This window comes from Homo sapiens, chromosome 10 (genome assembly GCF_000001405.40).
Source record: "Homo sapiens chromosome 10, GRCh38.p14 Primary Assembly".
Taxonomy (NCBI): domain Eukaryota; kingdom Metazoa; phylum Chordata; class Mammalia; order Primates; family Hominidae; genus Homo; species Homo sapiens.
The window spans coordinates 132,571,858-132,584,380 of NC_000010.11; the positions used below are offsets into that span (position 1 = coordinate 132,571,858).

Below are 12,523 nucleotides of genomic sequence, written 5' to 3' on the forward strand. Positions count from 1 at the left end.
GGTGTGAACTGAGCTGGGGCTGGCTCTGGCATCTGAGCTTGTTAACGACCGACTGGGCTAGAGGCAGAGTGGGCCGCACCCTGACCACCACCTCTGTCCCCCACTGCTGTGCCCCTCTGTCTCACTGTTTCCTGTGGTCCCTCCTGACTAGAAGAGACTCAGGCCTGCTGAGTAGCATGCAGCACAGGACGAGCCTGCAGAGCCCTCTTGGGACTTACACACTGGGGATTTGACAGCTCATGTCTGGCACCGCAGATAGTCTAGGAAAAGGTGACTCATCCAAGAGCCTGGCCGGAAACCCACAGGGTATTGGCCCAGGTGTGCCGAGAGGCTGGCCGGAGGGACCATTGTGATACTCAGAGGAAAACGCCTGTGGCCCATGGGGGGGCCTTCAGAAGAATGTCGGAGTTTCTCAGCTGGCAAGATGCCCCTGGTGGCAAGATGCCCCTGGTGGCAAGATGCCCCTGGTGTGGGGCCCCTCACCTGGACCAGAGGCCTTCCCTGAGCTTCTGTTTTGCAGGGAGGTGCCTGAGCTGCACAGCTTGCCTGGGAGGAGTCGTGGTTTCTGGGGGTGGGGCCTTTCGTAGGGCTGTGCTGGTGCTGTCCTGGGGGAGGGGGATGCTGAGCACGCCCGCCCGGGGCTGCTTTCCCTGGGAGGGATGCTGAGGCTGCCCAGGGCTGCTTTCCCTGTGAAGCAGCGTGACCCAGGGCTCTTGGTGGGGATGTGCCGTTTGCTCTTTTTCATGTGTCTAGCCCTTGGGAAGTGTTTTTGGTACTGCTGGTTCTCATGCTCTAGTCCTGGTAATGGGCTAGTGTGCTTGTTCTGGCTTTACTCGGTAGCGTTTATAACAGGACAGGATTCAGAGGACACTGTTGCTGAGGGAAAGTTTGTGCCACTTAACCTGGTGTTGCTTCTGGCCCTGCCTCTGCTGGGCGTCTGTCTGCAGCGTGCCTTGGAGTGTTTCCCTTGCTCTGCTGATTGCTGAAATGCAAGACCTGGGCCTCTGGAATCCCATTGAAAGAACTTGTTTAAAGAAACATCAGCTCGGTTTATTTCATACACAGCTACTTTTTGTAGATACTGAGGTTTTGTTGAGATGTTGGGGTGTACGTGCCGTGTGAGGTTTTGTTGAGATGTTGGGGTGTGCGTGCCGTGTGAGGTTTTGTTGCGATGTTGGGGTGTACGTGCCGTGTGAGGTTTTGTTGAGATGTTGGGGTGTGTGTGCTGTGTGAGGTTTTGTTGATGTTGAGGTGTGTGTGCCGTGTGAGGTTTTGTTGAGATGTTGGGGTGTGTGTGCCGTGTGAGGTTTTGTTGCGATGTTGGGGTGTACGTGCCGTGTGAGGTTTTATTGAGATGTTGGGGTGTGTGTGCTGTGTGAGGTTTTGTTGATGTTGAGGTGTGTGTGCTGTGTGAGGTTTTGTTGATGTTGGGGTGTGTGTGCTGTGTGAGGTTTTGTTGAGATGTTGGGGTGTGTGTGCTGTGTGAGGTTTTGTTGATGTTGAGGTGTGTGTGCCGTGTGAGGTTTTGTTGAGATGTTGGGGTGTGCGTGCCGTGTGAGGTTTTGTTGAGATGTTGGGGTGTACGTGCCGTGTGAGGTTTTGTTGAGATGTTGGGGTGTACGTGCCGTGTGAGGTTTTGTTGAGATGTTGGGGTGTGTGTGCTGTGTGAGGTTTTGTTGATGTTGGGTTGTGTGTGCTGTGGGAGGTTTTGTTGAGATGTTGGGGTGTGTGTGCCGTGTGAGGTTTTGTTGAGATGTTGGGGTGTGCGTGCCGTGTGAGGTTTTGTTGAGATGTTGGGGTGTGCGTGCCGTGTGAGGTTTTGTTGAGATGTTGGGGTGTACGTGCCGTGTGAGGTTTTGTTGAGATGTTGGGGTGTGCGTGCCGTGTGAGGTTTTGTTGAGATGTTGGGGTGTGTGTGCCGTGTGAGGTTTTGTTGATGTTGAGGTGTGTGTGCCGTGTGAGGTTTTGTTGAGATGTTGGGGTGTGTGTGCTGTGTGAGGTTTTGTTGAGATGTTGGGGTGTGTGTGCCGTGTGAGGTTTTGTTGATGTTGAGGTGTGTGTGCTGTGTGAGGTTTTGTTGATGTTGAGGTGTGTGTGCCGTGTGAGGTTTTGTTGAGATGTTGGGGTGTACGTGCCGTGGGAGGTTTTGTTGAGATGTTGGGGTGTACGTGCCGTGGGAGGTTTTGTTGAGATGTTGGGGTGTGCGTGCCGTGGGAGGTTTTGTTGAGATGTTGGGGTGTGCGTGCCGTGGGAGGTTTTGTTGAGATGTTGGGGTGTGCGTGCCGTGGGAGGTTTTGTTGAGATGTTGGGGTGTGCGTGCCGTGGGAGGTTTTGTTGAGATGTTGGGGTGTGCGTGCCGTGGGAGGTTTTGTTGAGATGTTGGGGTGTGCGTGCCGTGGGAGGTTTTGTTGAGATGTTGGGGTGTGCGTGCCGTGGGAGGTTTTGTTGAGATTTTGGGTTGTACGTGCCGTGGGAGGTTTTGTTGAGATGTTGGGATGTGCGTGCCGTGTGAGGTTTTGTTGAGATGTTGGGGTGTGTGTCCTGTGTGAGGTTTTGTTGAGATGTTGGGGTGTGTGTGCCGTGTGAGGTTTTGTTGCGATGTTGGGTGTGTGTCCTGTGTGAGGTTTTGTTGAGATGTTGGGGTGTACCTGCTGTGTGAGGGCCGGCCTTGTTTCTGTTTACTGATGCCTCCTGGGCCTCACACAGGGAGGGGTGAACAGAGGTCTTAGGGAGGGTGTTTTTCTCTTTTTTTTCTTTTTTTTTTAATTTTGTATTTTATTTTATTTTATTTTATTTTATTTTATTTTATTTTATTTTTTGTAGAGATGGGGTCTCAGTATTTTTTTTTTTTGAGACAGAGTCTCGCTCTGTTGCCCAGGCTGGAGTGCAGTCGTGGGATCTTGGCTCACTGCAACCTCTGCCTCCTGGGTTCAAGCCATTTTCCTGCCTCAGCCTCTGGAGTAGCTGGGGGGTGTTTTTCGTTTTAAAAGGCCTGGAATGTGGTTTCTGTGAGAGCCTTCCGGAAGCTCTGGGGAGGTGCTTGTCCTTGTTGCTGGGCCTTGGGGCGTGAGGCAGCTGGTAGGCACGGACTTCTGGTGGTAAGGAGCTGTCTAGCCTGGAAGCCTGCAGCCCACCTGACGATAGAAACGCAAAGCACACCTCAGCATATGGTCTGCGGAGTCCTCCCGGGGGCTCCGGATTCGGGGTGTCCGTGGAAAACACATGATGCCAGGTCCACAGGGTGACAGGTGACAGGTGACCCAGCCTTCAGGCTCCCTGTCCAGCCGCTGGGACTCTGTTGAATGCTGCATTCTTCCTCCGCAGGCTGGCGTTTGCACCGGCCTGGACACATCGCAACCCTGACCTGTGTGCTGAAGGGCGGCCGCCTGATGTCTGCCTGCTTTTGGCATTTGGACGACACCTGGTTTCTGCCTGAGGGAGGGATTGGTCCTCTTACCTGATGTGTAGCTCCCAGAAAGGCTTGTGCAGAACTGACATGTGGCTAGCCTGCTCCCAGCCCCCCGCAGCTCACAGGGTCAGGATGGGAGGGGAGTACAGGCTGAGGCACCAGGCACCACAGGGGCCTGCACGTCACTGTCAGTCTGGTTAAACATCATAAAATTAGTAACCAAACCGATCTAACCACATTCACAATCATTTGGAAACTGGTGAAAAGGGGAAAGCAATGAGCACTATCCTACTTCCCTAACCCAACCACAAGCAGCGGAGCCAGTTATTTCTTGGCTTCTCTGTGGAAGTGCGTTTATTTGAAATCCGTAAACAGTGTTTATCTTGGCGAGGAGGAATCCTGCACCAGCTTAGACAAGGAACTCCTGACGCCTCAGCGCCTGGCCCTCAGGACAGCCTTTCCCCGGTTCCCTGTGTCCCTCTGGCCGTGGGCTCCCGCGTGGTGTGTGCGGCCCAGGGCCCTGGCAGTGGGGAGTGTGTGGTCCCCTAGTGACACCGCCTGCTCTGTGGCTGTTTTCTTTCTTTATGATTGTTTGCTTCTCACACTCCCTGCCAAAGGACCTGCTTGATGCCACTGACATCGCGGCTCTTGTGGACTGTGGAGCTGGTGGCTCCCCTCTCCTCCTGAACCACGAGTACTTTCTGGGGAAATGATTTCACCCACTGCCCCCTGCCCACATCCCTCCACCACAGATGCCACCTGACCTGCAGCTACCCACTGGGCTGCTGTAGCTCCTTGGTGACCAGACTCTGCCCTTCCCTGCCAGTGTGTGTGCTGAGCCTCTGAGATCACGGCCCAGCCCTGGGCCCTCCCTGTGCAGGTCAGGCTCCAGGTTGAGGCCAGGTGAGGGAGCCGTGGTCCGGGGCTGTGGCTCTGCTCCTCTCCAGCCCTCTTGCCAGAGGTGGGAGGTGCTGGTGTGCCCCTCCTGCCCCCAGGACAGCACTTCTCTGTCTGCTTCCTGAGGCTCACAGCACAGCTCCTGTCTGCAGGGAGAGGAGAGTATGGAGAGGTTCAGAATGCGGGCTTGGACAGGTGCTGGGTGGCACCCCGAGCGGGTTTTCCTTTCAGGTGTGGGGCTGCAGGTTCTAGTGGGTTCTCCACACAGTCCTGGCCCTGGATGGAAAGAGGGAGAGAATCTAGCCTTGGGCTCTGGGCTGTGGTGGCTCCCTGAGGCCTTGCAGCTGGGAGGGGTCCTCTGCTCCTGTCCCCAGTGTGCGTCCCCCACTGCATCCACCCTCTCTGGGGCCTAAACTGCACATGATATCATTCATTACCTTTTTTCCCAACCAGCTAACAGGATGCAAACGAGAGTGTTCTAAATGATCTTGGAATACAAACTTGCATATGTTACTTTCAAGCATTAAATGTTTACCTTCTTAAATAAATGGTTGTCACCTCATTTTACCTTCTGAATTAAGCAGATCTCTGATGCACCCAGCGTCTTGCCTGTGCTGACCGGCCACAGACCCTGGGAGAGTCCCCAGCTGGGATGGGGAGCCGAGGGTCGCACCCAGACTCACACCCCAGAACCCGGGTTTTAGAGTGAGACTGACGAGGGCCACCAGGATGTGCTCTGCCGGTGTCTGCCCTGTTCCCAGAATGCTGGTCACACCCGCTGAATTGCTGTGAGCCCAGTGGTGGGCTGAGTGCCACGGTTTGAACGCACCTGTGGTGCCTCTGACCCATGGGGAGAGGGCTTGTGCTGGGCTCCAGAAAACTCTGAGGGACCTCTGAAAGGTGGCAGGACTGTGGGGAAGGGGTTTTGGCTGAGGCTCAGCAGAATGAAGGGGCCAGGAGTGGAGGGGGCAGAGGGACCCCCAGGCAGGGCCGCTGCACCTGGAGAGAAGCTGGAAGGCAAAGACTGGGTCGTGGTGCCCTGAGTGCAGGTGGGTTGCTCCCCCCCGGCACGCCGCCCGTGGTGCATCACGTTCTGTTGCAGTGTCTGCTCCTGAGCATTTCAGGACGGGACTCTGATCATCCTCCAAGCCGGCCTGCATATCCTAGTTGGTATCTGAGTTAAGTTTACACAGGAGATATGGGGTCAAAAGGTGGTGGGGTACCTGGCATCCTACAGGTGGCATTCCTGTATCTGTGATTTTTGTTCACACGTTTATCTCGGGCTGCGCATGCCCGGCCCCGGGCCAGGGAACGGGACATGGCCATGAAAACAGTGGGCCCCTGCTGTCTTGAGGCCCATCTTTTGGTGGCCCCTGTTTTGGTGGCCATCAGGGAGGGGCCTGAGCCCCCCATGGGGTCAGGTGGAAAGTGGCAGCTCTTAGAGGTGACATAGGGACCCTTGGAGGTGACATTGAGACCCTTGGAGGTGACACTGAGACCCAAAGGAAGGACAGGAGGGCCCCTGAGGAGATGGATGAGGTGGGAAAGTGCAGCCAGCATGCCTGTCTCAGGGAGGCATTGGGTGTTGTGGGCAGCGGTGGTTCGTGGCCTCCTAGTGACCTCTCCTGGTCACTGGACAGCAGCCTCTCTCGCCCATGGGCGCTGCTCTCGGTTCCAGCCTCGTTGGTTACTCGGCAGCCGTCAGACTCCTGGTTTGAGAAGGGAGTGTGGGCTCCCTGTCCTCGAGGGGTTCAGCTGTGCCATTTGGGGGTGCTCCATGAAGCTGGCAGCTGGACAGCCGTGACACTGGTATTTCTTGGGTTATTTTAGTTGTAGGCATGTTTGCTAAATGTCAGCAATTTGGCCTCACTCAAAATTTGTTTTGAGATTAGGCTCAGTATTGAACTGCATTGAATGAAGTAAACCAGGATTCTAAAATTAACGTGTGAGGGGAAGTTATTTCACCATTGGGAGATTATTATGCTCTCTACAGAAAGTGTTGCAGAACTTTGATTTGACAGCAATAAAAATGAACCCTCTCCTTTTTTGTGTCTGGTTTTAGCTCAGTGCCATATAAATCTGGGCATTGAAGGTTCAAGGGTCCAGGCGCTCCACCTCTGCCCCTGTGGCTGTGTGGTGCTCTGTCTATGGGGATCTTTGTAGCACAAGCCCGAGCCTTATCAAAGACCCTGGTTCTCTCCACTGGGTGCATGTGGAGCACCTCGGCCGGCATTCAGTGCCCACTCTGCATGCCGCCCCCGTGCCAGTCCCCGGCAGGTGAAGGTGAGCAAGACCTTGCACTGGAGCAGCTCTGTCAGGAGAGTGTGCGGGGGCTGGAGGGGCTCTGTCAGGAGAGTGTGCGGGGAGTCTCATCCAGGAGAGTGTGCGGGGACTGGAGGGGCTCTGTCAGGAGAGTGTGCGGGGGCTGGAGGGGCTCTGTCAGGAGAGTGTGTGGGGCGTCTCACCCAGGAGAGTGTGCGGGGGCTGGGTCTGGGCTTCAGGGGAGGAGAGTATGTGGGGGCTGGGTCCGAGCTCCAGGACACCCAGAAGAGTATGTGGAGGCTGGGTCCAGGCTCCAGGACACCAGGAGAGTGTGCAGGGGCTGGGTCTGGGCTCCAGGAGAGGAGAGGAGACTCTCGACGGTGGGCAGCCCCAGGGAATGGCATGGTGGCTGGAGGGGGTGCCAGCAGAGGGGCTGCGGCCGTAGTCTTAGGGAGGGTGGCAGGCACTGCAGAGGTGCTCAGTCCGCCTGCCTTCTGTGGTGCAGGGTAGAGGTCGGGCCTCACAGGCTCTGGGTTTAAGTGCTGGAGCTGCCTCTCATTGGCCCTAGGGAAGCTGCTCGTCCTCTTGTGCCTCGGTTTCCACACCTGTATGGTTGAACTTGTTGCGGTGATGTAGGAAGGGGCCTGATGCCCCTTTGTGTGGCTCAAGGCTGGTGCGTGCCGGGCAGCTGTGAAATGAGCTGGGCTTCTGAGTGGCAGGGAGGCAGAGCCGCGCCGGTTGCGGGCTCCAAGCTGGGCTAGCTGGAGGCGGGGGAAGGAGAGTGTGGGGGGAGGTGGAGCCTGTGGGCCGGTGACGGAGGGGACCGCGGGGCGGGGTGGCGAGTGGGGCTCCTGGTGTCTGGGGCTGCAGCTGTGGGTGGCTGTCGTGCCCCTGAGTGAGGCGTACCTGTTGGGAAGTGAGGGCATGAACTCCGTTTTCCTCCTTTTGAGTCCCCCCGCCCCAGTACTGTGGTGAAAGCAGCTGCACCGGTGGCTCTGGTGGGAGCAGTAGGGGTGTGGGATTGTGCAGGGCAGGGAAGGGGCAGAGAGGGGGCCGGAGCCAAGGAGTGGACTCTGGGCATCCCAATGGTCTGTGTGAGGATGAACTGGGCTGATGCTTGCTGTGGGCCAGGGACACTAGAAGGGTGAGCTCCATTCTCCAGAAGCTCTGTGCTTCTGCGGCTGGCTCCAGCCTTGCCCTGCGGTGGTGGGGCCTGCTTCCCCGGCCATCCTGCCCTGTCCCTTTGCTGTAGGTGGGGCCTCAGTGAGGCTGGGAGATGATACTCTGGTGCTGCCCAGGGCTGGCCTCCCATAGCGATTGATGGGGTGAAGGAGAGGAGAAGCCCGGAAGATTGAGCAGGTTTTTAATTCACAGGGCCCTATTTTCGTCTGACCCCTGCTTCGTCATCCACCTGCCTCTCCGTGGCGCCTGGTTCTTGGTGCTCCCCTTTTGCAAACCTGAAGCTCAGCCACCATGCCTTGCCTGTTTAAAAGTTTTTTTTTTTTTTGTAGAGATGGAGTCTTGCTATCTTGCCTAGGCTGGTCCACTCCCGATACTGGAGTGGAGTCTGCCCCCGGGTTGTGGCCCACCTTCCTCCCACTGCTGGCAGGGGCTTTGCTGGCAGCTCCCAGGGCTGAGTTTTCATTGAATAATCTGCCCAGAAGGTTCCAGGGGCTGCATCTGGGTGGCTTGAGAGTAGAATTATTTGGCAACTTGCAGTGGGTTCTGTTTAAGAAGGAAAAGAAAGCCTGCTGGGTCCCTGATATGGTTTGGCTCTGTGTCCCCACCCAAATCTCACGTCAAATTGTAACCCCAGTGTTGGGGGAGGGACCTGGTGGGAGGTGATTGGATCCTGGGGGCCGATTTCTCGTGATAGTGAGTGAGTTCTTGTGAGATCTGGTTGTTTAAAAGTGTGTGGCACTTCCCCTTTCACACTCTATCTCCTGCTCCACCATGGTAAGGCGTGCTTTCTTCTTCTTCACCTTCCGCCATGATTGTAAGTTTTCTGAGGCCTCCCAGCCATGTTTCCTGTACAGACTGTGGAACTGTGAGTCAGTGCAACCTCTATTCTCCATGAATTACCAGTCTCAGGTAAGTCTTCATGGCAGTGTGAGAACGGACTAATACTGTCCTGGAATTGGCCATGCTTAGGGGAAAGAGTCACAGGAAGGGCCCTAGAGATCATCAACTTCAGCCCTTTTATTTTTGATTCTTAAAGACACATGTGAGATTGTTTTATAAAAATTTTGACTTACAAGGCTGAAAGAATTTTATAGCTAACACTTGTTTATCTGCCACTTAGATTCTATCATTAATGTTTTACTCTACTTGTTTTAGCACATTTTCCTCTGTCCATCAGTCATTGTTGATTTTGATGCATTTCCAGGTAAATTGCTGACATCAGCATACTTCCCCCAAATGCTTCTGTGTGAATATCACTAGCTAGAGCTCAGTATTTAATGTTTTTCTTTTGACATAAAAATTATACACAGCAAAATATACAGATCCTAAGTACACATTTGCTGAGTTTTGACGTGTCTGTTTAACCAAAATTGTTATCAAAACAAACACAAAGCTTGACCATCACCCAAGACCCCTCCCCCATACCTTTCCCTGGCCCTCCCAGGGAGGTGGCTCTTGTGGGTTTTCCCTCACGTAGCTTCGCCTGTCGGAGGACGCCACATTCACAGATGCCCTCTCTCCATATGGCTTCAGTCTCTTGCCAGACATTTTTGAGATGGGTCCATATTCTTCTCCGAACCAGAGGTTTGTTCCTTTTCATGGCTGAATAGTAGTCCTTTGTGGGAGTGTATGACTATGCCATAGCACATTTAGCTGTTCTCCTGTCGACAGGAGTTTCCTGTCCGGCCTCAGGAAACTTACAATGATAGCATGTTTTAATTATGATGAGCAAAGACTCTATGAACATTCTTGTACACATTTTTTGTGAACATCTATTTTTATTTTCTTAGGCAATTCTACCTAGGAGTGAAGTGGCAATGTCCTGGAGTAGATGTGCATTTAGTTTTATCAGAGGCTCTGGAACTTTCCCAGGCCAATTCTGCTGGTCTCTTCCTCTGACAGTGCGTGGAGGCCTTGACTGCTCCTCACCCTTCCCCCATTTGGTGTTCTTGTTTTTTCAGTTTTAGCTCTTCTGGCGGGTGTGCAGTGGGACCTCACTGTAGGTTTTATTGGCATCTCTTTGAGGATTAAGGAGGTGAGCATCTTTTCAGCTGCTTATTGACCATTCATGTATTTCTTTTGCAAAGTGTCTGTTCATATCTTTTGCCCATTTTTTTTGAGTTGTTTGTTTTCGTTAGGGAGTTGCAGGGGGCCTTTATGTACTCTGGATACCAGTCCTTTGTCAGATGTATATTTTGTGATACTTTCCCCCAGTCTGTGGCTTGCCTGTTCATTTTCTTTTTTTTTTGAGACAGAGTCTTGCTCAGTTGCCCAGGCTGGAGTGCAGTGGCGCGATCTCGGCTCACTGCAAGCTCTGCCTCCTGGGTTCATGCCATTCTCCTGCCTCAGCTTCCCGAGTAGCTGGGACTACAGGTGCCTGTCACCATGCCCAGCTAATTTTTTTGTATTTTTAGTAGAGACGGGGGTTTCACCATGTTGGCCAGGATGGTTTCGATCTCCTGACCTCATGATCTGCCCGTCTCGGCCTCCCAAAGTGATGAGATTACAGGTATGAGCCACTGCGCCCGGCCTCATTTTCTTAATGGCAGTTTCCATGAGCAGCAGTTTTTAGTTATGATTCTTCTATGGTTCTCGCTTTCTGAGGCAGAATATATCTGTGTTCACTGCCAGGCCATGAAGACCTTCTTCCTTTTTGCCTTCTTTAGAAGCTATATGCTTTTACTGTCTACATTTGGGTTTTTGACTTATCACAAGTTAATTTTTGTGTATGATGTGAGATAGTGGTTGAAGTTTATTATTATTTTTTCCATATGGAATTCAGCTGTTCCACCACTGTTTGTTGATAACTTTTTTTTTTTTTTTTTTTTAAAGAGACAGGGTCTTGCTCTGTCACCCAGGCTGAAGTACAGTGGCAACACGGCTCACTGCATCCTTGACCTCCCGGGCTCAAGCGATCCTCCCACCTTAGGCTCCTGAGTAGCTGGGACTAAAGGCATGCGCCACCATGCCCAGCTACTTTTAAAAATAATTTTTGTAGAGATGGGGTCTCACTATCTTGCCCAGGCTGGTCTCAAACTCTTGGGCTCAAGCAGCCCTCCTGCATCGAACTCCCAAAGTGCTGGGTTTACAGGCACGATACTTTGTTTTTCTCCATTGGATTGCTTTGGTATTTTTGTTGAAAATCCAGGTATAAGTGTGCTTTATTTCTGGATTCGCTATTCTGCTCCATCAGTCCATTGAATTTTATTCCAGGTCCACATGCCTCAGTTGTGTTGGCATTAGAGTAAGTCTTACAGTCAGTGCACATCCCTAACTTGATTCTTGCAGAGGCTGCTTTGGATATTCCAGGCCTGTTGCATTCCGACATAGATGTTAGAGCATCTTGTCAATTTCTGCAGAGTGCCTGCTGAGCTTCTGGCTGGTATTGCTTGGAATCGTAGATCAGTGTGCGGGGGAGTGATGTCTTCACAATGCTGAGTCTTCTGATTATGAAGATGGTTGTCACCTCATTTACTGAGGGTGTCTTTAATTTTTCTCAGCAGCATTTTGTGATTTTCAGTGTAGTGGTTTTGTGTCTTTTGTAAATGAATTGTTACGTAGTTTATGTTTTTTATGTCATTATAAATGGTATTTTTAAACGTGTGATTTTCCAGTTGTTTACTATTAGTGAATGGAGATGCAGATGCATGGTTGTGTACTAATCTCGTGTCCTATGGCCCCTCTGAACCGTAGCTTCTGTGGAGCCGTGGGTGACAGTTGTAAACAGTTGGCATTTGCAGATAGAGCCATGTGAGCACCTTTTTCTCCAGGCTTGAGGCCGTTCCTTTCTTTTCCTGCCTCGTTGGGCTGGTCAGGACCTTTGGCATCGGGTGAGTCGGCGTGGGGAGCTGGGCCTTTCTGCCATGCTCTTCCTTTCGGGGAAAGTATTGAGTGGTTCACCAGTAAGGATGTGAGTATCTGGAGTGTTTTTGTCATTGTTCCTTTAAAAAAAAAAATGTCCTTTATCAAAGGGAGGAGGTTTCCTTGTATTTCATACTCTGCTGAGCGTTTTCGCCGTCGAGGAATGTCGAATGTGCTCAGATGGTTTTTCTGTATGTGCTAACGTGACCCCACACTTTCTCCTTTATTTGGCTAACTTGGTAAATTACATCGCTGTTTAGTTAAACGAAACTAGTGTTTCTGGGCTAACCCCTACTTGGTCACATTATATTCCTTTAAAAAATCTATTTTGGGCCAGGCACAGTGGTTTATTGCTGTAATCCCAGCACTTTTGGAGGCCAAGGGGGGCGGATAGCTTGAGCCCAGGAGTTCAAGACTAGCCTGGGCAACGTGGTAAAACCCCATTTCTACAAAAAATTAAAAAAATCAGCCAGTTGCAGTGGTGTGTGCTTGTAGTCTCAGCTACTCCAGAGGCTGAGGTAGGAGGATTCCTTGGGCACAGGAGGTAGAGGCTGCAGTGAACTGTGACTGCGCCACGACACTCCAGCCTGGGCTATAGAGCAAGACTGCGTCTCCAGAACAAACAAACAAACAAACAAACATTTCTGCCCTTGCTTTGTGTACACATCAGTGAGAGCTGTTGACCTGTAATGTTGTTTCTTTGCCTTGCCTCTGTGATGCCTTTGCCGGTTTTGGTGTTGGGGTTATGCTGGCTTCAGAGATTAACCACCAACCATTTGGAAAACACTAACCATTTGGAAAGTGTCATCCCTCCTCTGTGTTTGAAAAGAGCCATCTGTGATTGATGCTGTTTCTTCTTTAGGTGTTTAATGGAATTTACCAGTGAAACCATCTGTGCCTTTTTTTGTGGGA

At 52.3% G+C, this 12,523-nt stretch overlaps 1 protein-coding gene across 6 annotated transcripts in view, besides 9 other annotated features; it reads left to right on the forward strand.

The window, feature by feature from the left end:
- Nucleotides 1-12,523, forward strand: part of INPP5A (inositol polyphosphate-5-phosphatase A) — a 245,694-nt gene that overhangs the window by 34,071 nt on the left and 199,100 nt on the right. The gene's annotated exons all lie outside the window — the stretch shown is intronic.
- Nucleotides 19-788: an enhancer, noted in NCBI's record as "H3K27ac-H3K4me1 hESC enhancer chr10:134385380-134386149 (GRCh37/hg19 assembly coordinates)". NCBI's record gives its function as "activates a minimal SCP1, AML or CMV promoter by ChIP-STARR-seq in primed H9 embryonic stem cells {active_cell/tissue: H9 hESC(primed)}" and the evidence as "EXISTENCE:reporter gene assay evidence [ECO:0000049][PMID:30033119]".
- Nucleotides 359-508: an enhancer, noted in NCBI's record as "active region_4231". NCBI's record gives its function as "activates an Ori minimal core promoter by ATAC-STARR-seq in GM12878 lymphoblastoid cells {active_cell/tissue: GM12878}" and the evidence as "EXISTENCE:reporter gene assay evidence [ECO:0000049][PMID:35858748]".
- Nucleotides 519-568: an enhancer, noted in NCBI's record as "active region_4232". NCBI's record gives its function as "activates an Ori minimal core promoter by ATAC-STARR-seq in GM12878 lymphoblastoid cells {active_cell/tissue: GM12878}" and the evidence as "EXISTENCE:reporter gene assay evidence [ECO:0000049][PMID:35858748]".
- Nucleotides 789-1,557: an enhancer, noted in NCBI's record as "H3K27ac-H3K4me1 hESC enhancer chr10:134386150-134386918 (GRCh37/hg19 assembly coordinates)". NCBI's record gives its function as "activates a minimal SCP1, AML or CMV promoter by ChIP-STARR-seq in primed H9 embryonic stem cells {active_cell/tissue: H9 hESC(primed)}" and the evidence as "EXISTENCE:reporter gene assay evidence [ECO:0000049][PMID:30033119]".
- Nucleotides 1,558-2,327: an enhancer, noted in NCBI's record as "H3K4me1 hESC enhancer chr10:134386919-134387688 (GRCh37/hg19 assembly coordinates)". NCBI's record gives its function as "activates a minimal SCP1, AML or CMV promoter by ChIP-STARR-seq in primed H9 embryonic stem cells {active_cell/tissue: H9 hESC(primed)}" and the evidence as "EXISTENCE:reporter gene assay evidence [ECO:0000049][PMID:30033119]".
- Nucleotides 2,328-3,097: an enhancer, noted in NCBI's record as "H3K4me1 hESC enhancer chr10:134387689-134388458 (GRCh37/hg19 assembly coordinates)". NCBI's record gives its function as "activates a minimal SCP1, AML or CMV promoter by ChIP-STARR-seq in primed H9 embryonic stem cells {active_cell/tissue: H9 hESC(primed)}" and the evidence as "EXISTENCE:reporter gene assay evidence [ECO:0000049][PMID:30033119]".
- Nucleotides 3,098-3,867: an enhancer, noted in NCBI's record as "H3K4me1 hESC enhancer chr10:134388459-134389228 (GRCh37/hg19 assembly coordinates)". NCBI's record gives its function as "activates a minimal SCP1, AML or CMV promoter by ChIP-STARR-seq in naive H9 embryonic stem cells {active_cell/tissue: H9 hESC(naive)}" and the evidence as "EXISTENCE:reporter gene assay evidence [ECO:0000049][PMID:30033119]".
- Nucleotides 3,868-4,636: an enhancer, noted in NCBI's record as "H3K4me1 hESC enhancer chr10:134389229-134389997 (GRCh37/hg19 assembly coordinates)". NCBI's record gives its function as "activates a minimal SCP1, AML or CMV promoter by ChIP-STARR-seq in naive H9 embryonic stem cells {active_cell/tissue: H9 hESC(naive)}" and the evidence as "EXISTENCE:reporter gene assay evidence [ECO:0000049][PMID:30033119]".
- Nucleotides 4,261-4,320: an enhancer, noted in NCBI's record as "active region_4233". NCBI's record gives its function as "activates an Ori minimal core promoter by ATAC-STARR-seq in GM12878 lymphoblastoid cells {active_cell/tissue: GM12878}" and the evidence as "EXISTENCE:reporter gene assay evidence [ECO:0000049][PMID:35858748]".